The sequence below is a fragment of the Homo sapiens genome, chromosome 9, assembly GCF_000001405.40.
Source record: "Homo sapiens chromosome 9, GRCh38.p14 Primary Assembly".
NCBI lineage: Eukaryota > Metazoa > Chordata > Mammalia > Primates > Hominidae > Homo > Homo sapiens.
In genome coordinates, this window is record NC_000009.12 from 124,669,737 (window position 1) to 124,697,079 (window position 27,343).

Here is a 27,343-nt window from a genome sequence, read left to right on the forward strand (position 1 = left end):
CAGGTGCATACCACCATGCCCGGCTAATTTTTGTATTTTTAGTAGAGATGGGGTTTCACTATGTTGACCAGGCTAGTCTTGAACTCCTGACCTCAGGTGATCCACCCACCTTGGCCTCCCAAAGTGCTGGAATTACAGGGGTGAGCCACCGTGCCCAGCCTTATTTTCTTGACTCATAGGAATAAATATGTCTAGTAGGCCCTCGATAAATACTTACTGAATTAAGATTACAGCAAGTTAGAGAAACTTGATGTCTTATTTGTTAAAGGGCCAAGTAGAATAAAGACTTTAAAATAAGAAACTTACATACCATTTTTCCCCCTACCCTTCCCCTCACATAAATTTGGTCAACATACTTCTTAGCCTGGCAGAGCGGTTCATGCCTGTAATCCCAGCACTTTGGGAAACTGAGGCAGGAGGACTGCTTGAAGCCAGGAGTTTGAGACCAGCCCAGCCAACATAGCAAGACCTCATCTCTGCAAAAAAAAAAAAAAAAAATCAAAAAATTAGCCAGCTGTGATGGCACATGCCTACCGTCCCAGCTACTTGAGAGGCTGAGGCAGGAGGATGGCTCAAGCCCAGGAGTTGGAGGCTGCAGTGGGCTATCAGGCCATTGTACTCCAACCTAAAAGACCAAGTGAGACACTTTCAAAGAACAAAAAACAAAAACACATACTTCTCGAATTTCTTTTATTTGTCTATTTTCAGATCAGATTATTTTTAGTTGTTGAGAAAAGGTCTAAAAAGCTAGGAAATGAAAAGTCTTAGTATTAAATTATTATATTCTGACATTATGTCTCCAGGTTAGCTCCACGCAGAGGCAGCTGACAAACACAGCTTCAGCAAAAGTCATGATCCATTTATGGTTCACTGTCAACAAATAGTGACCGGGGACATGAAACAGCATGATCAGGGAAGAAATTCAGAGTGGATGAAACAAAGGGTGTGTTTAAGAGCAGTGAGGAAAAGATGTGGCCTAGCAGTAGGATATTGGGGGCCCAAAAATAAAAGCCCATGTCAGGTTAAAGCATTTAGATTTTTATCTAAAGATTGTCAGGGTATCAGGTTGTCAAGCAAAGTTAAATTTGCATTTAGCAACTGGATAGAAGATAGATAAGAATTGGGAAGACTGGAAGCAAGGAGACCACTTGGGCCGTTGCAGTTATTCAGATGAAAAAAAATGGTTTTGACCACAGTGGTGGCAGTAGAGATGCAAAGGGCTGTCACATACTACAACATAAGTGAATTTTGAGGACATTATGCTAAATGAAATCACAAAACGACACATACTGTATGATTCTACTTATATAAGATATCTAAAGTAGTCAAATACATAGAAACAAAGTAGAATGGTGATTACCAGGAACTGGAACGAGGGGAAATGGGAGTTGTTTTAATGGGTACAGAATTTCAGTTTTGCAAGGTGAAAAAGATCTGGAGATCTGTTGCACAACAAAGTGAATATATACTACTGAACTGTATATTTTAAAAGGGTTAAGATGGTAAATTTCTTACAGTCTTAATCCACAACTTTTTTAAAAAGATGCAAACTGGAGTGCTTTTGTGTGTGTGTTTTACATTTTGCTCTATTCAACCTCTGAAAAACATCTACTGCTATTTTCCTGAGCTGTAAAATGAGTTATCACCAAATGGTATCTGATTTGCAAGGCACCATAAGGTTTCACACGACCCCAAATATCTTACTGTATTACTTTGTCATGGTACTTAATATTTCCTCCAAAGACATTTATTCTTTTTTAAAAAGGAACACGCTTAAAATATTAACTGAAAAATAACTCAAATATAAGAAGTATTATAGAATAAAAAGTGGAACCTCATCAACCTTCTCACAACCCTACTCCTGGCCTAAAAGTATTATTAATTAGATCAACTAAGTTTACCTAATGTAAATACACAGGAAAATATAAATATAAAGGAAAAAGTCATTCTTTAAGGCCACTCTTAAGTGACTAACACAAAGTCATTAACTAGAGATGGTATTTTAACACAAGTACTTGAGTCCTATGTTTTACCTCAAACTTTTAAACCCAGTTGCTGTCTAGCTTTTTCTTAAAAGAAACTTTTTTATTCAAGTGTAAAAATACAGTAAAGTGCACACATCTCAAACAGTTCAACGAACTTTTACAAAGTGAACATACCTAGGAAACCAACATCTAAATCAAGATGTAAAACATTACTAACACCTCAGAACCTTGTGCCCTCCAGCTATTTTATCGTCTCAATAAAGGTAACCACTATTCTGATCTCTATCATCTAGTTTTGTCTATTTTTGAACTTATATAAAGAGAATTCCATACTATGGAATATTTTGTGCCTGACTTCGTTTCCTCAACATCCTGTCTGGGAGACGCAACCATGCTGCGGCATGTTGTGATGGTGTGCCCTTATTACTACTGTGCAGTATTCCGTTATATGTATTCTCCCACACTTATTTGTCCATTCTACTATTGATGGATATTTAGTTGTTTCTAGTTTGGGACTATTACAGATAATGCTATGATATACATTCTTGTACATATCTTTCAGTGCACACATTATGCATTTTTGTTGGGTATATGCCTAGAAATGGAATTGCTTGGCTGGACACAGTGGCTGACACCTGTAATCCCAGCACTTTGGGAGGCCGAGGCGGGCGGATCATGAGGTCAGGAGTTCTAGACCAGCCTGGCCAACATAGTGAAATCCCGTCTCTACTAAAAACACAAAAATTAGCCGAGTGTGATGGCACAAGCCTGTAGTCCCAGCAACTCGGGAGGCTGAGGCAGGAGAATCGCTTGACCCTGGGAGGCAGAGGTTGCAGTGAGCCGAGATCATGCCACTGCACTCCAGCCTGGGCGACAGAGCGAGACTCCGTTTCAAAAAAAAAAAAGAATTGCTTAAGTTCAAGTTTCCCAGATGCTACTAGAGGTTTCAAAGGTTTGTATCAATTTATATACCACTTCTGCCAACAGAATTTGAGTGTTCCATTTGTTTTCACCAACAATTTGTATGTCAGTGTGGTGGGTATGCAGTGGTATATCCTTTTTTAAAATTTCATTTCTCTGATATCTAGTGATGCTGAGTACCTTGGGCTAGATTCTGATAGATATTTGAGGGGCAGACTTAATGAATCTTAGTAACCAATTGGTTGGAGAGAAAGAAGAGGAAAAATCTAGAATGACAGAAAAATAAAAGACATTTGGGGAAAGGGAGGGAACAGAAAACACATTCATTTCTGAAATGATTAGGTTGTGTTTGCCCAAGAGTGAGTGACATGTAAGATTCAAGAGTTAACTACAACTGAGCCAGGCGCGGTAGCTCATGCCTGTAATCTTAGCACTTTGAGAGGCCAAGGCTAGCGGATTGCTTGAGCCCAGGAGTTTGAGATCAGCCTCGGCAACATGGCAAAACTCCATCTCCAGAAAAAATACAAAAAGTAGCCAGGCATGGTGGCATGTGCCTGTAGTCCCATCTACTTGGGAGGCTGATGTGGGAGGATCACTTGAGCCCAGGAAGTTGAGGTTGTGGTTACAGTGAGCTTTGATTATACCACTGCACACCAGCTGAGTGACAAGAAAAAGTTAACCACAACTACTGAAGACTCAGTGAGACATATGAAGGTTCTCCCATAAAACTCCCATAATTTAAAAGACAAAAAAACTTCAACACAATACCGCCATATCTCAGGTGGTAAAGAAAATAAATTTACAATCCTAAGGAGGAAAAATAAACTAAAGTACAATACCTCAAAACCAGAATCTCAACCTGGGTACGGTGGCATGTGCCTGCAGTCCTAGCTACTTGGGAGGCTGAGGCAGAAATAAATATCATAGATGCTTAAAAATGCCCCACTATGACTTTTAGGAATGCCTGTGAAGATATAAAAAAGAAATCTATAGAGTAATGAATCCTAGGCAAATATAATTAAAGAAAAAAGTTAAAGCTTTCATAAAAGACAAGTTCACTAACTGCATGGTTTCATGAAGACATCAGTTAGACAAAAATCTCCTATTTTCAGACAAGAAGGTCATCTCCGACACCTATCAAATTTCTCTATTGTGAGCGCCTAAAGAAGATAAGCAAGGGCAATAATTAATCAACAAATATACGAGGATTAAGGATGAGGAACAAGATTTGGAACTAGGCTCTGTCCTCTGAGATTCACCTCATTGTTGGAATTTCTAGCTAATTACTATTTTCCATCACATATTAGGTGGTAATTAAGATCTTGGCATCTGTCTTCAAATCTCAGCTCTGTCCCTTCTTAGCTATGTGACCCTCAGCAAACGACTTTTCTCTAGCTTCAGTTTTCTCATTTCCAAAATGAGAATAATCATCCACATAACTACTGTCAACATTAAATGAGGTAATATAAGTAAACCACTTAGTACAATGCCTGACCCATAGTAAGTGCTCCATAAATGTTAGCTGATATTATCATATTATCATCTGTAAAATGGAGACCAATTCACACACCCTTAAGATTGAAAAGAAGTAAAATGACACATACAATGCCTAGGTACACAGGAGGCACTCAAATGGTAGATGTTACCCCTTACACTCTTTGGGAACTCCATATCATTCAGTATCAAACTGAGTATGAAATGGTACAGTGCAGCAATTAACGCTATGAAGCTGGATTTCCTGAGTTCAAATCCTGGCTCTGCCACTTAATACCTGTGTGATCTTGGGCAATTTATTTCCCTTACTGTGTCTTTCTATTTTCATCTGTAAAATGGGAAAAATAATAAGTATCTATCTTACTGGGTTGTTATGGGGATAAGACAAGCCCTCTTTTAAGTGCTTTACATATAAAGTCCTAAAAATAAAACCTGGAACATAAGTGCTATATAAATATTAACTATTATTATCTTAATAACAGAGGTACACATGCTTTGAGGCTGCTGCACATCAAAGAAATGAATTTGGACATAAGCAACTTAATATTTTTCTTGTATTTAAGAGAGGCCCAATGGAAATATTCATATACCCATCTTCAAAAATGGGAGGAAAAAAGGCTGAAGGAATAGCAAATTACAACACAGGAACTATATAACTACTAAGTAAATGTGACCTCATCCATCCAGAAACAGGTATGAAGGAAATGTATTTTCTAGCTCCGCCTTAACCATGTAATCACTCAGATAAAGGAGTCCTACATTCCAGAGAGATAGAGGAAAATGATTTTTCTTGCTCTTACCTTACAACAAACTGATAACCAACACAGCTAACCTTTGTGCGTTCTCACATAATTTTTAAGTGAAGAAAACATCTCTTAGGACAAAATAATCAATTCTGGAAGCTTTCTTAGAAATGCCTTCCTGCCTTATACTAGTCTTTTCTTCCCATACTCCACAAACTTCATCCCTGGGCAAGTCAGAAGAGGTATCTAAAGACGCAAAAATGCAAGCAAGTAAACATTCTTTAGAACTGAAAGGAAATCCTATGCTTGTTCTTACTTAGAAAGTTATGGAGTTAATCCTGTGGACTGGCTTATGTTGCTGACTTACAAAGCAAACAAAATACTAAATTGTATAAGCAACAAATAAAATCAGTGAATTGTAATTTATCTGTCTAAGAGTCTGTGCCTCCTACCAGACTGTAACTTCTCGAAAAAATACTTTATTCATCACCAGCATCTAGCACATTGCCTGGCACACACAGAAGGTGTTCAATAAGTGTTGACTGAATACAGTCAGAGAGCACCTCCTCCTTGTACAAGGTACTGTTAGGTGGCAGACAGCCAATAATGGTTCACTTAGGTTGATGTCAAAGATTTCTGTTTGAAATTTAAATAAAGCCAGGTCTGGCTAAAGAGCTGCAGCTGTAGTTGTACCTGCTCTCAACCCAGATTTATTCCCAATAGCAAGGCTACCCTCTTCTGCATGCCTGCTGATATTTCTCTCAAATGATGAGAAGCCACTTCCCATGTGGCCCTAGTGTGTAATTCTTTCTGCTCAACAAAGGAGGCAGTCTAGAATCTTTGGTCATAAAAATATGATGGTTAGCAACAGGAAGCAACTGCTGGGCAAGCCTGGTACACTTCCAAATGAAATCTTTCCATCTAGAATTCTCAATTGAAGGTGCCAAACTCAATCCAGAACATCTGGATTTGCTCCTCTGGCTTCAAGCGTTCTCCAAGAGAGGCTAGGAAAAAGTACGCTCTTGCCGGTACGTGTAGGTGTAATTGTATACTCAAATATTGTACTTTGGATAAGAGTCCAAGACTTGGCAAATGGATGGAATGTAGCACATGGAACTGCCTGAATAGATACCCACGCTAAGAGAAGGGTTTTCTTGCAAAATATAAACAGGCAAGGTGTGAATTGCCCCTCTGTGTCACAAGTTAGAAGAATTCACCCAGGAGAATAAGTTCTTAGGAATCAGTGGGGGAATAATGCTCAGAAGCATGTGACAGGCAAAACAGCACCATTCCCTAGGAAAACGGCAAATTTATCAAACAATAACTCTTTACTTCTCCTACCCCAATAAGATAAATATATGTGATTATAATTTGATCCATACAGAAAAAAATATTGAGCTGCAAACTCTGGCAAACAGACAGTGCTGAAATTAAACATTATGAGCTTTGGCAGCTGCACTATGTACTCTCAGATTCTTACATCATTACTCTGGTAAGGGCCCCGTACCAAGCTGGCATAGTTCTGATGTGGTCTGGAGGGAGACTTTCTTGCCTTTTATTTAAAAAAAAAAATGACCTACATATAGCCTCTTTTCATGCCACAGGGAAATAAATATTTTCCTTTCCTCCAGATTTTGTTTTAAATGACAAAGCCATACTGCCAAGTTATTAAGAAAGTGTTAGAAATTATTATGAGATTTTTAAAGGCCACTTAGTACAAGCTCTAAAAAGACTTCTAAAACAGTAGACTTCAAAAACAGGATCTCTCCTAAAGTAGTGATAATCCATTTGTGGCAATAAAGAATCAGTTTATAGAGTGATGATTACTTTCTTGTTTATATTCTGACATTGGAAGTTTAAGTATCCAGATCCTCAGTAACCTCAAATGCAAAATGAAATAGTAATGTCACCGTTTGGGACAGTTCTTCTCACAATATCAGATATATGGCAAGTCCTCAGTAAGTACTAGACAAACTTATGAACGATAGAACCTTTAAAATTCGTGACTAGAGCAATCATATACTTAACAGAGCTAAGTGGTTACCTTTACTTCACTCATATTCAAGACTGAAAAGAATTTACACATAAGCTAGTTTCAAGATCAAAACTGCGTTTGTCCCTTTCAACAACTGATACCACACAAACAAGACTTCATTCTCTATTTCCCTCCAGTGGCATCCAAGAAAAACATAAAAATTCCAAATCTCAAAAATAACAGGTTAAAGAAGAAAAAAAAAGGCCTTAGTGCTCATAAACTAGATATATAATTTGACATGTTTAGAGTGATAGGATTATGTTTCCTATCATGAAATATTTCAAATTTTCATATATGGTCAAAATAGTATAGTAACTACCAAGCTTTACTTCCAAATTATTATTACTATTTCCTTTCTTCTGGAGACAGAGTCTCACTTTGTCACGCAGGTTGGAGTGTAGTGGCTTGATCTCAGCTCACTGCAGCCTCAACCTCTCATGTTCAAGTGATCCTCCTGCCTCAGCCCCACAAGTAGCTGGGACTACAGGTGGGCACCACCATACTAGCTAATTTTTGTATTTTTTTGTAGAGACGGGGTTTCATCATGTTGCCCAGGCTAGTCTCAAACTCCTGAGCTCAAGCCATCTATCTGCTTGCTTCAGCCTCCCAAAGTGCTAGGATTACAAGCATGAGCCACTATGCCCAGCCTTATTTTACCTTTTGAGATATAATTTACATATGGTAAGGTAAACAAATCTTAAGTCTGATAAAGTTTTCTCATATGTATTATATATGTTAACTACTATCCAGATCAAAATATGAGCACACATTTATTGCAGCCCACAGGATTCCCTCGTGACCTTTCTCTCCAAAACATACTTATCATTCTAATCTCAGATAGTATTCCTTTCACCACTAATAATCAAATCCAGCCTTTACTTTCCTGTTTTCTTTATAGTTTGCCAATGTCTATTTCAATCATAAGTATTTTGGCTACAGTGACCCCATGAAACAGAGAAAGTCTATGTAACATGCAAAAGACCTTACAATTTAGAATGCATACAAGCTTCCCAACATTTTTAAAGGGACAGAAGACTCAGAATGCTACCGTAAAAGAGAACAAAGGGAAACATGGAATTCATTTTGACTTAAATCCTAAAGAAAATACACTAGACTGTTTCTTGAAAAAAGCCTGTAATGAGTATAGATTTCTAAATCAGTTTTGAGAGAATATTTGGCTGAATATTTAAACCTAAATGTTTTTATTGGCTGTCAGTAGGTATCTGAGTAAATCCCATTCCAATTGCATTTTCCTTAAAGTTCACAACCATCTTAAGGCCATGCTCCCATGCCTAGAGGCTGACAACCTTCCTAAAAGAGCTAGATTCCTACACGGTCTTAGCCCCAGTATATACATACAAATTAAAAGAGAACCCTAATCACCACTTTCTCTTGGAGTAACGTCCTAAGTCTGAATAATGTACATATCATCACCCTTCGTTAACTGTAGAACTTAGTATTTCAATCAAATGACACAACCTAGCTGATGTGACATATTTAGCAATGTGCACCACTGTTGATATGCTCATGCAAACCAAGCACTTCTGGGGACAACTGGAGAACAATGGAGTGAGACAGAAGATGTAAGTGTAATAACAAATGCAACAACCACCACCTTATCAGAAAGGTTGTTGGAAGCATTTACTAAGATAATACAAAGAAAGGCTGTTACTGTTCTTACCTCACCTCCTCAGACTTACCTGGACTAAGTTATGACTTGAGAGAAATGCTCCCCCTCCCCTCACTTCCAAATCCTGGAGCAGCACAAATAAGGATCTGCTTCTAACAGTCAAACTCTCTCTAGTTCATTTATATAACTGAATATCCCTGGACGAGTTACAAAGGGGATATTTGGATAAATTCTTTTAATCAGTTTGCTTTCATATAGCCTAGTTAAGACCTCACTCAGGAAATAAAATTTTAAGAAAGTAGTAAGAAAGCCCCAAAAGGGAGCGACCCAGTCCTAATAACTTTCTAGAAGCAAAAAAGTTATGCTGAGGGCATTCTAGGAAGAAAAGCAGCTGGCCCCGGTGGTTCGTGCCTATAATCCCAGCTACTCAGGAGGCTGAGGTAGGAGGTTTGCTTGGAAACTAGCCTAAGCAACACAGCAAGACCCCTGTCTCTAAAAATAAAAGAAAAGGCCCCCATTTTGCATGTGGCTTATAAAGAACTTACAATTCTCTGTCCTCTATCCTCACCTCAAGTTCCCATTCAAGATACTAGCTAGGTATTTATAGTTAGTTCCTTATATATACATGTTACTCTTGAAGTTAATCTCACAGAGACTGTACAAAAATAGAGCAATTTCCATAACTGGTTGCTTCTGATCAGTGTTCATTTTGGAGACATCGATAATCACCTGCCAATTACTGGCTATATTGTGACTGACATCTTATGGATGCTTTGTTCTCCAAACTGATTTGTTAAGCTGTAAACTGACTACTTCCTATGTTAAAACGACTAGCAAGCTAGACCTGTACAACTTTTTCTATCTGCCTTAATCTAAAAACTAAATGTAGTATCAACTCAACTCAGCAGATCCGCACCTGCCCCCTGATTATCTTGTCATAAAACCATCCGTAGGGAGCCAAAGAGGGTACTATTTAACAATGACACAATTGCTTGCAGTATAACATTAGCAGTATAAACAAAAGCATTTTTCATTGCTTTTCAAATCTTAAGAGTTTGAAAAAAGGCTGGGCACAGTGGCTGATGCCTGTAATTCCAGCACTTTGAGAGGCCAAGGCAGTGGATCACTTGAGGTCAGGAGTTCGAGACCAGCCTGGCCAACATGGTAAAACCCCATCTCTACTAAAAATACAAAAAAAAAAAATTAGCCGGTCATGGTGGCGAATGCCTTTAATCTCAGCTTCATGGGTGGCTAAGGTAGGAGGATAGCTTGAACCAGGGAGGTGGTGGTTGCAGTGAACCAAGCTCATACCACTGCACTCCAGCCTGGACAACGGAGAGAGGTTCCATCTCAAAGAGAAAAAAAAAAAAAAAGTAAGAGTTTAAAAAAAGACCTAACACCCACCAAAATTATGGATGCCTATTGCAACTTCCAAAACAGACAAGATTATAGGGTGATTATTTATATCTCAAAAGGAAATTATGAGTTATACATTATATGTAATTATACATACAGTCAAATGTGTTTATGTGTCTGTGTGTATGTATGTGTGTGTGTGTGTGTGTGTGTGTGTGTGTTTATGTATGTATATGTAAATCGTGATGTGTGACATTGAAAGAATGTTCCAAAAAAGGAGCTATTTCTTACAAATAGCTACTAAATGCTGAACCCTGCACCAGGCACTATTAACCTCTGCATCTGGACACTGTTTGGCATGCTGTATAACTGCTCATTTTCCCAAAACCATAAAAAAGCAAATGCCATGTGATTTACTTCTTATTCCCCCACAACCAGAATAAAACCCACATAGTAACAATATTGTCCAATCAATATCTATTAAATAAACTGAACTGACTTAATTATAAAAAGATAACCTTGAGCAGAGGGATCAGTGAGACTCAGAAAATACATAGTGTTTACAGTATGAACACACACAAAAAAAACGGAGTGTACAAAGTACAGAGGAAAAATGAAGTCGCTAAATATTTAGGCAATAAGCATTGATAGATCAACCTTTATTGAGCTCCACTGTACAAACGAGCCCTTAAATACTATGGTAAAGCTCCAGGGGGATGCCAAAATAATACACGGTTTGTCTCCTCTGCTATAGCCCACTGCAGCCATAAATGTTAGCTCTGAAGGGACTACGAGAGTTTCCCACCATTTGCCTAGAGTTTCCTAACATATGAACTCCAAAGCAGTGGTTCTCAAAGTATGGCCCACATATGTTTCCCAGACTCTTCCTGGGAGTCTGAAAAGTCAAAACTATTTCTATACTAACTCTAAGACATTATTTGCCTTTTTCACTATGTTGACATTTGTAATGATGGTACAAAGTCAATGCTGGGTTAAACTGCTGCCCTTGGCAGTAATTTAGTAGTGTCACCAAAATGTACCAGTAGTCACTGTATTTGTCACTGTCACACACTACAGAAAAAAGGAGGGAAAGCCATTTTAACTTAATAATGTCCTTGATGAAGCAGTAAGATTTAGTGATTTTATTCAATCTTGACCCTGAGCAAACATCTTTTAAAATATTCTGTGTGACAAAACAGTAGGTACACATAAAGCACTTCTGCACAGTGGCTGCTTCAAGAAGCAGCACTGGAGTTATTGTTACGTTGTAAGCTGAACTAGCCCATTTTTTTCATTGACTATCATTTTACTTACTAAACAAATTGTGGTTATTCACACTTGGGTATCTGATGGATATTTTCTTGAAAATGAACAAAGTGAGTATGTCACTTCAAGGAAAACAAGTGACAGTATTTGTTGCCAATGATAACATTTGAGCTTTTTTTTTTTTTTTTTTTTTGAGATGGAGTCTCACTCTGTCACCCAGGCTGGAGTGCAATGGTATGGTCTCGGCTCACTGCAACCTCCACCTTCCGGGTTCAGGCGATTCTCCTGCTTCAGCCTCCTGAGTAGCTGGGACTACAGGTGCATGCCACCACACCTAGCTAATTTTTGTATTTTTAGTAGAGATAGGTTTTCGTTATGTTGGTCAGGCTGGTCTTGAACTACTGACCTCGTGATCTGCCCACCTCGGTCTCCCAAAGTGCTGGGATTACAGGCGTGAGCCACCACACTCAGCCCAACATTTGAGCTTTTAAGCCAAAATTAGAATTTTGGGATATTTTTATCTGTCACTGTGAGCTTCACAGGTTCCAAATATTTAAAGATGTATCTGATGAGTTCAATGATATTTACAAACTTAATTTTTTGATATTATGAAATGTGTCAATATTTAGAAAATCCGCATAACTCAGTGAACAAGTATTTTCCAAATGACCAATGTATGATGTCACAAAATCATGCTTGGGTAAAAGATCCATGAAAAATGCAAGATAGACAAATGAATTTTAATAAAATCGAGTATGAAAAGTTCATTGATACAGTTTCTGATTCCATACCGCAACTAACCTTTGTTTTTTTGTTTTGTTTTGTTTTGTTTTTTGTTTTGTTTTGAGAGGGAGTTTTGCTCTTGTTGCCCAGGCTGGAGTGCAATGACATGATCTTGGCTCACTGCAACCTCCACCTCCTTGGTTCAAGCGATTCTCCTGCCTCAGCCTCCCGAGTAGCTGGGACTACAGGCGCCCACCACCATGCCCAGCTAATTTTTTCTTTTTGTATTTTTAGTAGAGACAGGGTTTCACCATGTCGGCCAGGCTGGTCTCGAACTCCTGACCTCAGATGATCCACCCACCTCGGCCTCCCAGAGTGCTGGGAATACAGGCATCAGCCATCGCGCCTGGCCGCAACTAACCTTAAAACTACCAAGTATTAAGATCTAGTACGGTATCAAAAGAAGAATATGCAAAATTGTCTGAACTGACTATTAAAAAATCTTTTTTTATATATCTACGTAAAACCAGATTTTCTTCATATACTTTAACCCAAACAGTATATTGTAACAGACATATGCAGATATGAGAATTCAGCTATCCTTTATGAAGTCAGACATTAAAGAGATCTGCAAAAATGTAAAACAATGTCATTCTTCTCACCAATTTTTAAAAAAATAGCTATTTTTACAGCTTTATTTTAAAATGTTACTTATGTTAATATATAATGGTTTATCATTTTTATTTAATCTTTAAATGAATTAAAATACTTTTAAGTTTCTCTGTTTAATTTCTAGAAAGTAGCTATAGCCCATATAAATAAAAGCTCTTGGGAATCTCAATGATTTTTATGAATGTAAGGGGGTCACTGGGACCAGAAAGTTTGAAAAACATTGCTCTATGGACAATAATTCTTTCTTTGTTTGGCAAGAGATCTTAGGGGTCCTGATTCTGTTTGGTTTGGGCTGGTATAATTTTTTATGAAAAAGTATGGAAATTGAAGTAACATATAGCACAGTCAAGACTTGAATCCAAGGACTGGCACAGTGGCTCATGCCTGTAATCCCAGCATTCTGGGAAGCTAAGGTGGGAGGATCGCTTGAGTCCAGGAGCTCAAGACCAGCCTAGGCAACACAATGAGACCCTATCTCTGCAAAAAATTTAAAAATTAGACATGGTGGTGCATACTTGCGATCCCAGTAACTTGGGAAGCTGAGGTGGGAGGATCACTTGAGCTCAGGAGGTTGAGGCTGCAGTGAGCTGGGATCACGCCACTACACTCCAGCCTGGGGCATAGAGTGAGACCCTCCAAGACAGAAAAGAAAAGAAAGGAAGGGAAAGGGAAAGGGAAAAGGAAAAGGAAAAGGAAAAGGAAAAGGAAAAGACAAGACAAAACAAGACTTGAATTTGGATCTCCTGACTTCAATTTTATGTTCTTTCTACACCACAATTCCTCTGCTTACTAAGATGATAATTTAGAAACCCCTCGTTCCATTCTTTACAGCAAGCTGGAAGTTTGGTCAAGTAATTACAATAATAGTAACAAATTTGAATATTATATGCCAGGTGTTTTTCATTCCTGCTCTCACTTAATTCTCACCACTCTGATATAAATACAATTGCTGCCGGGTGTGGTGGCTCATGCCTGTAATCCCAGCACTTTGGGAGGCCAAGGCAGGTGGATCACCTGAGGTCAGGAGTTCAAGACCAGCCTGGTCAACATGGTGAAATCCCATCTCTACTAAAGATACAAAAATTATCTGGGCATGGTGGCACCACCTGTAATCCCAACTACTCAGGAGGCTGAGGCAGGAGAATCACTTGAACCCAGGAGGTGGAGGTTGCAGTGAGCCAAGATCGCACCATTGCACTCCAGCTTGGGCAACAAGAGTGAAACTCCATCTCAAAAATAAAAAAATATAAATAAATACAATTACTCACTAACCTTCATTTTACAGATGAAAACCTGAGGTTAAACCACTTGCCAAAAGTCACACGGCTACTAAATGGCAGAACCAGGATTTGAAAACAATACTTCTAATAGATGTATTAGCAAAAAAGTCTCACAACTGCCAATCAAAACATTTGTGTGGATACTAGCAAAGTGGCATTTTTGGAAACAGAGCACCTATGACTCTTGCCCAGTGTGCCTTCAAATATAGACAGAACAAAACACTAGCCTCGAGTATCGCCATACAAATTTAGTTCTACACAGACAACAGCAAGAAAACAAGCAAATAGGGAGATGTGCTAGGTATGACCAAGCTGCCTCTCTTCCTTACCCATCCAGCATTTCTACCATCACCCACTAAAAAGGAGTGACAGAAGTCAAGGATGAAGGATGCATCACCAACAGCCGGGACAGTGAAAACTCTTGGCAGGTGTTCTCTAAGCTCTAACTCCCTGCCTATGCAAACTAAACCCCAAGCCAAGTCCTCTTGGCTTTATCACACTGAGTGTTCACAAGAGCCATCATTAATGTCCAAGCTCCACTTTTTCCAGGCTGATGACATGTGTCAGCCCTTGATTCCTGGTGCCACTCTTGCCTGTCAACTCAGGAAAGGCTTCTGTAATGCCTTTGGCTTTTCTGAAATACCTTCAAGACACAAGGCAGCAGCTGACACCAACTCTCTCCTGAGGATGGACACTTGGCCAGGAGCCCAAGCTGAAGTGGATTAGGAGGTTCTTGATCTTTATTAAAATCATTCCTACCTTCTTACTGGCAATTAAAATAAATTCCTCCCCAGAGAGCAGCCAGGGGTTCCTCGAGCCTCTTCCATCCAGTGGTAGTCATCTTTGATTAAAGAAAAGCGGTAAAGTGTAGCAGCAGCTGATAAATGTCAGACCCTGGAGGACCATCACAGAGTTTAGATCACTTTACAGCTATTTCTCATTTCATACCATGGACGGATTTTAACCCAACACCACTCAGTACTGCTTACTTAGTTAAATGCTTCAGGAAAGCCTCCCAAATCCAAGTCAATGGTCCATTTACAATAGTTTTGGGTGCATCCCTGAGGCTAAGATGTTTGACTCATCAGGCAGATTTTGACTTGAAGGCTATATCATCTATCTTGCAGATGGCCAATAGGAAACTTCTGCAAAAAAAAAAAAATTCTTTTTCATGATGAAGAGACAGAGTGGTATAATTATGATAAACACACATACATGTAGTCAAAGATTTCAATTCTGACCCTGCTGTGTGACTTAGAATCTTCATTTCCCTTCTAAATCTGTTTCTTCATCTGTTAAATTAAGATATTTAGCCTAAATAAGAGATTCCCAAATGTCCACTTTTTAAATTACTGCACCAGAATAATATGAACGCTTTTGAAAAATACAGAATTTACTCCTAGAAAAGCTGATTTACTAAGTCTGGGATGATGCCTAGGAATCTGCACTTTTAGCAGGCTACATTTCCCATCGCTACCACTTTTTCTGGGAGGAGTTGGGGGAGACAGGGTCTCACTCCGTCGCCCAGGCTGGAGTGCAGTTGCACAAGCACGGCTCACTGCAGCCTTGACCAAGTCTTGGGCTCAAGCCAATATTGCCACCTCAGCCTCCTATGTAGCTAGAACTACTGGCAGACATCACAATGCCGGGCTAATTTTTTCAATTTTTAGTAGAGATGGGGTCTCCTTATGTTGCCCTGGCTGGTCTCAAACTCCTGGGCCCAAGTGATCCTCTTGCTGTGGACTCCCAAAGTACTGAGATTACAGGTGTAAGCCACTGTGCCCAGCCTACACTTTTAATTCTGATGCAAAGCAGGTTTGGAAACCATGAGACTAAATGACCTCTAACACTCCTGATAGTCTGAAAGTTACAAAATTGTAGGTTGAAACTTATTTTCTATTTATTCAACCCAGAATTATTTCCCCATTCATGATTAGCATTCCCACTCAAACATCGGCATTGTCAATTTCAGGTTAGCAATGGAGAGATAGGTCCAAAAACAATAAACCAAGTATCAATAGTTTGCCCAAACTAGTACAGTATTATTTCATTTATGAAAGTATGAGGTAGATCTAAGCATAGCTTTTCTACAGAACACACATTTTTAAATAAAAGTTTTAAGACATCATATTTTGGAAAAACTCAACTATCTGCTGGAAATAACCAAGAAAGGCAACATTAAAAAGCATTTTCCCTGTTATGAATAACTCAAAATAGTTATGAAATGAATATGTCTACTTACCAATAACTTACAAAGCCTTAACACAAATCTATACTCTACCTGAGGCAATAATAAACTTTCTAAGAACAGAGCTCAAGTTTTTAAAGTATAAATTACTATAAGACTAAAATTAACCCAATAAACAAAAATAAGTCAGAGGAAGAAATAGTCTTATATCACTGATACATCATCTGCGCTTCATAATTGTAAAAAAGGAAAGATTGAGTTCTTTGGTAACTGTTCTTGTTTATTTCATTAACTGGTTGTTGCAAAACACACGCCTATTGGCTTTAAAGAACTTTTAAAATCTCGGCCAACACTTTTCACACACTACAATACAAACCAAGATTCTCTCCAGTTCATTCTTCAATTTCCATGAATATCACCTACTGCATGATATTGGTTCCTATTGCTTTTACAGCTTTATATTCCCAACTTATTATTTCAGCTTAACTTGAACAATAATCGCTGGTAGAGTAACTCAGAAGAGTTTTTCACTGATTACAAATATCCTGATTTACCATGAAAAAAAACGAGTCCTGCTTCCTGTGGGTTTGCAAAATAATCTAAAATAGTAATACCTCAAACACGTGAAGTCACTGCAACAAGGGGATGGAGAAATCATGTGCTTCTTTAAAAGTCTTTTTTTTTTTTTTTTTGTGACAGGGTCACTCTGTGTTCCCCAGGCTGGAGTGCAGTGGCACAAACACGGCTGACTGCAGCCTCAACCTCCTGGGTTCAACTGATCCTCCTGCCTCAGCCTCCTGAGTAGCTGGAGCCACAGGCACACACCGCCACGCTCAGCTAATTTTTTATTTTTTGTAGAGATGGGGTTCTTGCCATGTTGCCCAGGCTGGTCTTGAAATCCTGGGCTCAAGCAATACCTCCCTCCTCGGCCACCTAAAGTGCTGGGATTACAGGCATGAGCCACTGTGCCAGGCCAAAATATTTTGAAAGGCTTTGAAGTATGTGTCCCATTTGAAGAGAAATACTGCCCTAGCACTAGGCCAATTTGCTATCTCAGTTACTTGGCCTGTCCACATCCTTTTTTTTTTTTCTTTCCTTTTAAGAGATCAGGTCAGGTCACACTCTGTCACTCAGGCTAGAGTGAAGTGGCGGCACAATTAGAGCTCACTGTAGCCTCAAACTCCTGAACTCAAGCAATCCTCCACCTCAGCCTCCTAAATAGCTGGGACTACAGGCACATGCCACCACAGCCAGCTAATTAATTATTTATTTATTTATTTATTTATTTATTGGTAGAGACAAGGTCTTGCTATGTTGCCCAGGCTGGTCTCAAACTCCTGGCCTCAAGTGATACCCCTATCTCAGCTCCCAAAGTGCTGGCATTATACATCAGCCACCATGCCCCCAACATCCCAAACAGCTAAAGTAACCTGATATAAAGTTGCCATGTAAAATTTTAAAATGTTCCAAGCTACTGAGTTTAAATTTCTAATTCTACCTCTCAACTCCTTGGTAAAACCTTAGGCAGACTAAATATAAGAATGACCATTATCCCATATACAACTTAACCTTTGAGATTCTTTTTTTCTCCTTCCTAACACTCAAGTAAACACTCTAGATTCAGCAGGCTCCTTTATGACCAGTACCTTAAAACAACACATTATTTTGGCCTAACTTAAAACCAGAATTAGTAGTCAAAGTGCTGGGATCAGATGCAAACCAAATGGTTGCTGGGAAAGTGGGGGCAGATGGGAAACTTGCAAAATAAGATAGCTAAATGCATTCAAATATTTGTATAACTTCTCATTTGACAATTTCTTTTAGAAGAGGATCTGTTCCAAGACTCCCAGCAGACGCCTGAAACTTCGAATAGTACACAACTCCATATATATTATGTTTCTGCCTATACATACATACCTATGGCAAAGTTTAATTTATAAATTAGGCACAGTAAGACAGTAACAATAACTGATAATAAAATGGAACAATTAAAACAATATGGTATAAGTTGGCTGGGCACAGTGGCTCATGCCTGGAATCTCACCACTTTGGGAGGCCTAGGTGGGAGGACTGTTTGAGGCATGGAGTTTGAGACCAGCCTGGGGAACATAGTGAGACCCTGTCTGTACAAAAAAAAATTTCTAAATCAGCCAGGCATGGTGGCATGCACCTGCAGTTCTAGCTACTCAGGAGGCTGAGGCGGGAGGATTACTTGAGCCCAGGAGTTTCAGGATACAGTGAGCTGTGACTGCACCACTGCACCTCAGCCTGGGCAACACAGCAAGAGACCCTGTCTTTAAAAAAGAAAAAAAAAAAAGTTATGTGAATGTGGTCTCTCTCTCAGAATATCTTATTGTACCGTACTCACCTATTTTTGAAAGTAACTGAAACCACAGAAAGCGAAAACGCATATAATGAGGGACTACTATAATTGTGTAAGCACAGAGTTACCAATTAATGGTTGGTATCTGCAATTGGTACAGAACTTGGTGAAGTCTAAATAATTACTTTTCCTGGAACCACTGCTACTGGGTTATACATTATGCTTCAGGGAAAGGTGATGGCAAGAGTATTCACTGCTACTGGCCAAGTAGCCACTCGTAACAAGATGGAGATCAAAGCTTCCAAAAAAAGCAACATCGTATCAGTGACAAGACTAGATTGAGAAATCCTGCTCTATAGCTATGGTCAGAATTTCCTAATCTGAAGTTCACAGACAAACCCACCAAGGAGGTGATAAATGAGTTCCTGGATTCCATAATTGAAACTGCTTTCAAAATGTGTTTATGTACATGTATTTAGGGAGAGAATCCATAGCGGATTTTTAAATATTATCATCTAATTTAATTAGATAGGGAGAGTTTTAAATAATGTTATCTAATTTAATCCTCACAATCAATGAAGAAGGTACTAATATTCTCATTTTATAGACTCAGGAAACTAAAACGTTATGGGAAATGAAAACCTTACCAAAAAAGTGGTAGAGCATTAATTCCAAATATGTCCTTAAAACACATATATGTACACATACAATACAACAGCTAGTCAGAGATTGTTTTAACTATAAAAGAACAGGTTTTTTATTAGCATATATGGCCTGGAAGCCAAATACTGGGGAAAACAAGCAATTTTATTTATTAACATAGAAATAATAGTTGTAAATTATCTTAACAACTTAAATACCTTTAAAATAACATATAAATCTCCATTTTATAGATAAGGAAGCAAAGAAATGGAGAGGTTAAGTAATTTGTCAAAGATCACATAGCTAGTAAAATTCAAAGTCACGATTCTGGCTCCAAAATCTGCTCTTTACTATGCTGTAAATACTGCTTCTCCAAACATTTAATACATGAAATTTTTTAACTATGGTCATTTTAAAGGGAAAAAAAGCAAGAAGGCCAAAGAATCATCCAATTTGGAAAAGTTTATTATAATAAGGTATTTCATTTATTCTATTCTCGCACATATGAAACAAAAGCAATGGGAGACAAGAGAAGCAATTACATTTGCATGCTCTTTCAGATACATAACCTTATTGGATTTTCATGGCTGTGTGTGCAGGAAGGGCAAGTGCTATTTGTCTCACATTTTAAAGATGAGTTAACTGACACTCTGAGACATTAATCTCACTACTCACCATTACCTAAACATTTCTGCCTCTAAGATTTCCTGTACATGGTTTTCCATTGGAATTAGCCCCCTTTCTCTGTCTAGTAAAAATTCAACTAACCTTTTAAAGCTCAAACCAGGTTAACCTACTTAGATATACCTTTCCTGGCACTTGTAGGCAGAATTAACCCCTCTTTTCTCTGTTCTCCCTTAATATAGTTCACACCAATCCACCAGGCATCCTCTTTGTCATCAGTTATATTTACGTGTAGCTCCCTAGTCAGATAGTGGGCTCCAGGATGGCAAGGGTTTTATATACAGGAAAAACAATCCCTAGGATTCTACTGCCGAATCAGTAAAAGGATGAATCAGAAAACTAGCACAGTTTGGCAAAAAGAAACATGAATTCACACTGACATGCTGTTGTTATCTTCATAACTTAAGAATTTATCCTCACGGCTAGCAGCATTACCCCCAAACACTTATAGTGATGCTTCCTGCATGGTGCTTGGGAAACACCTAGGCAGACGGCACCTGAGACGATGACTCCTCTTCTATTAGCTACTAATCACTCAATTTTAGTTATGTGCTGCTGAAGCAAACATGCTACTAATCATCCAGATACATTGTTTTATTGAGTTTATGCTTATTTCTTCCAAGTATATCAAGAAGTCCCAGGAAGACTATGAAAACATTTACATCCCCATGTTGGAGACATGTGGGTTTCAATATTTCATGGTTTCTCTGGAATATTGGAAACCACCAATATTTCGTGGTTTCTCTGGAAAAGAAAGGAGGTATGTGAAATTAAGGAATGGCATGGTGAGTTCTAACAAACTCAAAACCAATCTAAATCAAGAGTTAAATAGTTGGATTGGCTTGTTAAATGTCAGCCTATAATTTTTTTTTTTAGAGACAGATTCTCACTCTGTCACCCAGGCTGGAGTGCAGTGGTGGATCACAACTCACTGTAACCTCAAACTCTTGGGCTTAAGGAATCCTCCCTCCTCAGCCTCCGAAAGTGCTGGGATTACATGTGCCACCCTGCCTGGTCACTCTTAGCTAATTTAACCCTTAACTTTTTTTAACCCTTAGACTTTATCCTTGCACCGAGTATATAAACCCCTTAGCCAAACTCACTTAAAAAACCCAAATGTGTGCTCAAACTTGCTTGATGATAAAAACTAAAGAACTTAAAGGAATGAGGATGATGAAGGCCATTATGCCATGATACACAATTATTTCAAATACAGTGGGCAACACCCCATGTCATTCCAGAAACCTACCTTTCTGTAGTTTTTCAAGTCTGTGAAAAGCATTCTTTTTAGAATGCTATGAATTTAAGGAATAATATTTTGTAAGCATCTAAAGGTTTGGTGAAGTCAAAATCAGTATTTTTTTTAAAGTCTAAATATTTATCCAAATAGTATAAGGCTTGACATCGCTTTATATTATTGGACCAAGAGGAAGACTTTTTAAAATAAACCCATTAAAAAGTTTTAAACATATTACACAGTTACAGTTGCCTGATTTTTTGTGTGTGTATACAATTTACTGTCATAACACTGAAAACTCAACAAAGCTGGCTAATGCAGAGTTTTGACAGAGGGTGAATTAAACTGATATAGAAGGTAAACAGTTTACATTCAAACCTAAATCTCAGTGGTTGATATTTTTTCTTTTAACGTGTACCATTTGGCTGCTTTAAAAATGAATTTGAGACCAGTCAGCCTTTAGTATTTAAACCTAAAGCAAATAGTAATAACTATCCCCATTTAGAGATTAACTTCAATTCAGCAGGCAGTTCTGTAAGCCCTTTTCCTATTAAGTATTCCTAGATCTGTCCCATTGTAAATCACATATTCTGAAGATTCATATTATTAATTCATTTTTCAAATTTTTCATCACAGACATTCAACAGAATCAAAAATAACCACTATGTCCTATAATGTACTGGTATCGTTTCAGCCAGAACAAATGACATCTGACATTTTAGTTACACTCTGTGTTCTCAACTAAGAAGAAATGCAAGCTTTACATTAGGTGGTGGGTTTTTGGTTTATTTTTTGCTTTTTCAATATGGAAAATAGCTTGTGGACTATCACTAACACCTCTGTGGTAACTTAGTAATGCAGGATCTCAGCAAAGGAGATCATCAATCATGGAGGTCGAGGTTTTTCATCTTCCCCTATGACCTCACCTATAGACCTACCTGCTATTATTATAGGCAAACAAGTAGAAGAAATTTACATGTTTGACTTTGGCTCTGCAGTGATGGGTCTACTCCTAGATATCAACAGTAAGTTCTGTAGTAGACAACAGAAGCAGTATGATGAGTGAGCACTGGAAACATGAAGTCCAGTATTCAAATTCTGGCTTATAACCTTGGCTCCTGGCAATGTAACTTTAGGCAAATCACTTCAAGTTTTTTCATCAGGAAAATGTGGGTTGTTGAGAATTTAATGAGATAAAATATACAAATCCTAGTATATAGCAGATCCCCAATATATGTTAATCTCTTACCCTTGTTAACAATTAAAATACTACTGCAAAATCAGGTATTTTACATTTTTAGAATCACAAAATAATACCATTCAAAGACATTTTCTCAGACATTCATTTGAGTCTGCTTGTACAAATTACTGCACAGTCTATCCCACAGTTCATTAGTTCTCTGCTGCACACAAATTGATTTTATAATTTAAATACTCTCGACTTGAAACCCAGAGAGGAATGTAAGAGCATCCATCAGCGGTGGTCTCACTGCTCACTGGTTCTTGGGATGTGGATGGGAGAATGAAGAAGGGCTATCAGGCCAGCCTTCAGAGGACTCCAAGGAACATTCAACGCTGTCGGTGAGTTTGGGATTTGAAAAAACCACTGACCGTTGACTGTACCTTGGGGTCCTTACAGACGACACTACATTTCCTGAAGCAAAAGAGCAAGCTGTACCTTCACATGTCACATGAGTTCACCAGAAATGGTCCTGCAATCCCCCAAATGTGGTCCAGTGAATTTTATTCCTACTGCTCACTGTTCCTTGCTTTCTGTTGTGTGTTTTATTATTATTTGTTTGTTTTTACAAAAAAAGTGTTTCATTTCAACAAGGTAAGGAGCAGTCCATGATGATATCTAATGTACCTACATGTCTCCTAGATATGCACCATTCTGGTGAGAAACAGGACGTAGCAAGTAAAAATTTATTAAAAATACGTATTTTGTTTTGGAATAAAATCCAGTTAAATAATTACTCCCATTTCTCCCACATCCTCTCAAAATTTTTAATTAGGGGCAAGGGGAGGATTTAATAAGCAAAAATAGCACAAAATTATCCAATTGTGACAGTTCTTATCACATTTCACTTTGAATTATAGTTAATATGGTTAATTTTTGATATCCCAGTTAGAGCATGAGCTATTGCCTTACTAGTGCCCACATATCCCCACATATGCTTATTTAAATGTTTGCTAAATTCAAGCAAAAACTTAGCCCTGGAGTCAGTCAGATCTGGGATGAATCTTGGCTCAAGCCCTTAACTAGTTATTTGACCCCCTAAGCAAGTGTCTCAGTTTTCTCACATATAAAACAGAGGCTAAGAGTACCTATCATGGAGTTTTGAGACTCAATGAGATAATATATAAGGTGCTTTGTACCATTACTAGCCCACAGCAAATGCTCAATATATGTAAGCTGTTATTATTAAACTCCAACATAATCTGCTAATTTACCTCAAAAAAGCACTCATACTTCTCAGTTCAAAACAAAGAGGAAAAGCAGGTCCCTCAGCTGTGGTTTACAGGTACTAATATGCAAGCACTGCCTGTGTGGCGCAGTGCTACCTGTGAGGTTCTCCAAGCACTCCTTCCTTCTCTGAACCACAGCTTCCTCATCTGCAATAACCTCCCAGCTCCAATGTCAATGTTATGGACACCTGTGTGGGCCCTCAATCATGCAGATGGCTGGTTACTAAGGGAGAAGCCAGACACACAGACTTCAAAGAACTGAGATGGAAAAGAAGAGCCAGGAGTCAGCCAGGGAGGGCAAAGGCAACCCCACCAACTGAAAACACTGATGGCTGCACTCAACATTCATTGCTGTCGGTGGGTTTGAGTCTGAATCAACTCACTGATCAATGAATGCAAACTGCGGACCAAACAACCCAAAGGAAGCAAAAGCATGTGCAGAGAGTCGCCTGAGTGCAGCAGCTACTGCTGTGAGTGGGAGCTGCTACTATTTCCAAAACACTAGCTAAAGCTTTTCTTGTTCTCCTTGGTTCTAACATGGAGTAAGTTCTCTAAATTCCTAGTACTTTTCTCCTTTTTCAATAGTCTAGATTTAAGGAAATGATATTTTATAGGAAGAATTAAATACATATCTGGATATCACATCACATTTTAAAAATCAGTACATTCAGAATTTCTAAACAGAATCATATGCTTATTATTTAGAAATTCAAATACAAAAATATACAAAGTAAAAATTGAAAATCCCTTCAATCATCATCTGCAATCCATTTCCTCGGAGGAAAACATGTATAATTATAATAAACTTATTAAGATAATAAATATCATAACTAGAATTTATTTTATATCCTTGAAGACCTTTATCCATACATACACAGATAAATAGCTGTAATTTTGCATGTTTTGGGGGGAGAGTGGCTTAGACAAAAATAAGCTCATTTTTACCTATTGTTCTATAATCTATTTTGTTATTCAGCTATATATCATAGACTTCCACAACAGTCTTTTATGTACTCGTCATTCTTTTAAATGGCTATATAGTATGACTTAATATGAATGTTCTGGTTATTATTCAGATGTACATCAATATTCTCTTTTGACAAAAACTATGAGGCTCATTCATTCTAACCTTTGCAAACCATGTCCCTCAAACAGGAAAAACACCTAAGTGAGATAGAAGATGTACATTTTTCTTAACAAAAAATTTAAATGTAGTATCAACTCTCTAAATCCTGTAACATGAGATAAGCCACTAAATCCCATGTTAAAGAAAGAAAAACAAGGCCCTTGGTCATGAATAATTTATCATACACTTAAGTCTAAGAAGAAGCAGATTCTCATAGCAAAAGTCAAATAAGACAGTAAGAGAAGAGTCTTGTCAAATTAGCCTTGACAATTAAGCAAGCCTTAATTTGACAAGGCTTTCCTGTCAAATTAGGAAGGAGAAGTGATGGGGTAATGAGACAAGAACCAGAAAGAGAAATCAAAGCCAAAAGAAAAATCTAAAGAAAACTATGAGAGTTCAGAGAAAATATCAGGTTCAAGCCAGTGTTTCCCAAACTTCTTGTACACCAGAATCATCTAGAGTTGCTTTTAAAATGGCAAATTCCTGAGCCCTACTCTAGACGAGGTGATTTTGGGTCACTGGAAGCTGGAAGCAAAGTAAATAAAGTTCACTAGCTTAACATCGGCTTCCTGCCCCCATCCCACCACCACATTTCATGTCATCCACTTTTCAACTATTGCCCAACCTTTTGTGTCACCACCTGAAATCGCCACTATTCTGCTGAGTGCAGACAGGTAGAGTCACATTTGTGCTGCTTTTAAGTATCTCCAGACTACATAAAATTTTGCACCATGTTTGGTGGCCAAATATACATCAAATTGTGTCTGATGTTTTATGGAAATGAATGGATTTGGATTTACGCTATCTAAAAAACTAAAACCTACCCAAAGAAATTACCAAAAGGTTTTTTTGTGTGTGTTTTTCTTTCGTTTGTTTGTTTTTTTGAGACAGTCTTGCTCTGTTTCCCAGGCTGGAGTACAGTGATGCGATCTCGGCTCACTGCAACCTCTGCTTCCTGGGTTCAAGTGATTCTCGTGCCTCAGCCTCTCAAGTAGCTGGCCCGCCACCACACCCAGTCAATTTTTGTGTTTTTAGAAGAAATGTGTTTTTAGTAGAGCCATGTTGGCCAGGCTGGTCTCAGACTCCTGACCTCAAGTGATCCGCCCGCCTCGGCCGCCCAAATTGCTGGGATTATAGGCATGAGTCACCGCGCCCGGCCCGAGGGGGTCTTTATAGAAGAGTTTTTTGTGAGACTGGTAGACACACAGAAGGTACTCCACGCAGTCTTGTTTTTCAAGATGCTGTGCATTCTAGGCATTTATTTTTAACCAATTATTTCCAAAATTTCTGAAAACATTAGAAAAGAATGTCTGACACGTACTTTGAAAAATGTACACTTGAACAAGCATGCTATTTATTTACAGACTATTACATAGTCTTTAAATATGCCAATGAAACAATTATATATTTCATTAAACCAAATCCAAGTTTTCTCTTGGATAAAACTAAGTACTACAAGAAGGGAGACAATTATGTAAGTTAAAGGGTGTTTTCTGCAGATAGGCCTCAAAATAAATACCTGTAACAGAAAAATTACATGGCATGTATAGGGGACAGGAAGAGAATAGTCCAGAGACTGTATTAGGGAGTCATAAGGAATGGCACTGAAAAGGTAAAAGGACATATTACAGAAGGACTTGTGAGCAAGGCGCAAAGTCAATTAGTCCAACAGAGAGCCGTTTTAAATGCTAAACTCAGCAAGGAGACAATGAAAGCAAGACTGGGAAGAGTCACTAAGCAGATGAAGTGAGGGGAAGAAAAGAGAAAAAAGAGAACTTTCTTGCACAAGTTAGCAGGGGTAGAACTGAGTCAACAGGAATGGAATGAAAGGAAAGGTTATCTCAAAAAGGCATACTTTGGCTTTTGTTTTTCAAAATAAAAGCCTACTGGCTGACCCCCTTCCATCATCCTGTTCGGTGTATAGCCTCACAGATATTTCAAGATACTTAAAATGCATGTATTTATACTTAGAGAAAATAACATCACAAATTATACATAATGTTCTCTAGCTTTTTTTTTTTTTTTTTTTTGAGATGGAGTCTCGCTCTGTCACCCAGGCTGGAGTGCAGTGGTGTGATCTCGGCTCACTGCAACCTCTGCCTCCTGGGTTCAACTGATCCTCTCACCTCAGCCTCCAAAGTAGCTGGAACAACAGGCACTCACCACCACGCCTGGCTAATTTTTGTATTTCTAGTAGAGATGTGGTTTTGACATGTTGGCCAAGCTGTCTCGAATTCCTGACCTCAAGTGATCCGCCCACCTCAGCCTCCCAAGTAGCTGGGACCACAGGCACGTACCACCATGCCTGGATAATTTTTTGTATTTTTAGTAGAGACAGGATTTTGCCATGTGGCCCAGGCTGGTCTCAAACTCCTGACCTCAAGTGATCCACCCGCCTCAGCCTCCCAAAGTGTTGGGATTATAGGCGTGAGCCACCGCACCCGGCCTGAAATCTTTCTTCACTTAAAATATTGTGGCCATCTTTCCATATCGATATATCAGAACCACCTTCCAAAGAACTGGCTCAAACAGAAAAGAAAGCAAAGAGTCAAGAATGATGCCAAACTTT

At 38.5% G+C, this 27,343-nt stretch overlaps 1 protein-coding gene, 1 long non-coding RNA gene and 2 other non-coding genes across 7 annotated transcripts in view, besides 1 other annotated feature; 3 read left to right on the forward strand and 1 right to left on the reverse strand.

Moving 5' to 3' along the window:
- NR6A1 (nuclear receptor subfamily 6 group A member 1) overlaps nucleotides 1–27,343 on the reverse strand; it is a 254,037-nt gene that overhangs the window by 152,462 nt on the left and 74,232 nt on the right. The gene's annotated exons all lie outside the window — the stretch shown is intronic.
- The window catches only part of MIR181A2HG (MIR181A2 host gene), a 40,193-nt gene that overhangs the window by 11,301 nt on the left and 1,549 nt on the right, over nucleotides 1–27,343 (forward strand). The window lies entirely within an intron of this gene.
- MIR181A2 (microRNA 181a-2) lies at nucleotides 22,706–22,815 on the forward strand. Its single transcript, NR_029611.1, has one exon. It is a non-coding gene; the product is annotated as a microRNA 181a-2 (primary transcript).
- On the forward strand, nucleotides 23,974–24,062 carry MIR181B2 (microRNA 181b-2). Its single transcript, NR_029782.1, has one exon. It is a non-coding gene; the product is annotated as a microRNA 181b-2 (primary transcript).
- Nucleotides 25,286–25,831: an enhancer, noted in NCBI's record as "H3K27ac-H3K4me1 hESC enhancer chr9:127457301-127457846 (GRCh37/hg19 assembly coordinates)". NCBI's record gives its function as "activates a minimal SCP1, AML or CMV promoter by ChIP-STARR-seq in naive H9 embryonic stem cells {active_cell/tissue: H9 hESC(naive)}" and the evidence as "EXISTENCE:reporter gene assay evidence [ECO:0000049][PMID:30033119]".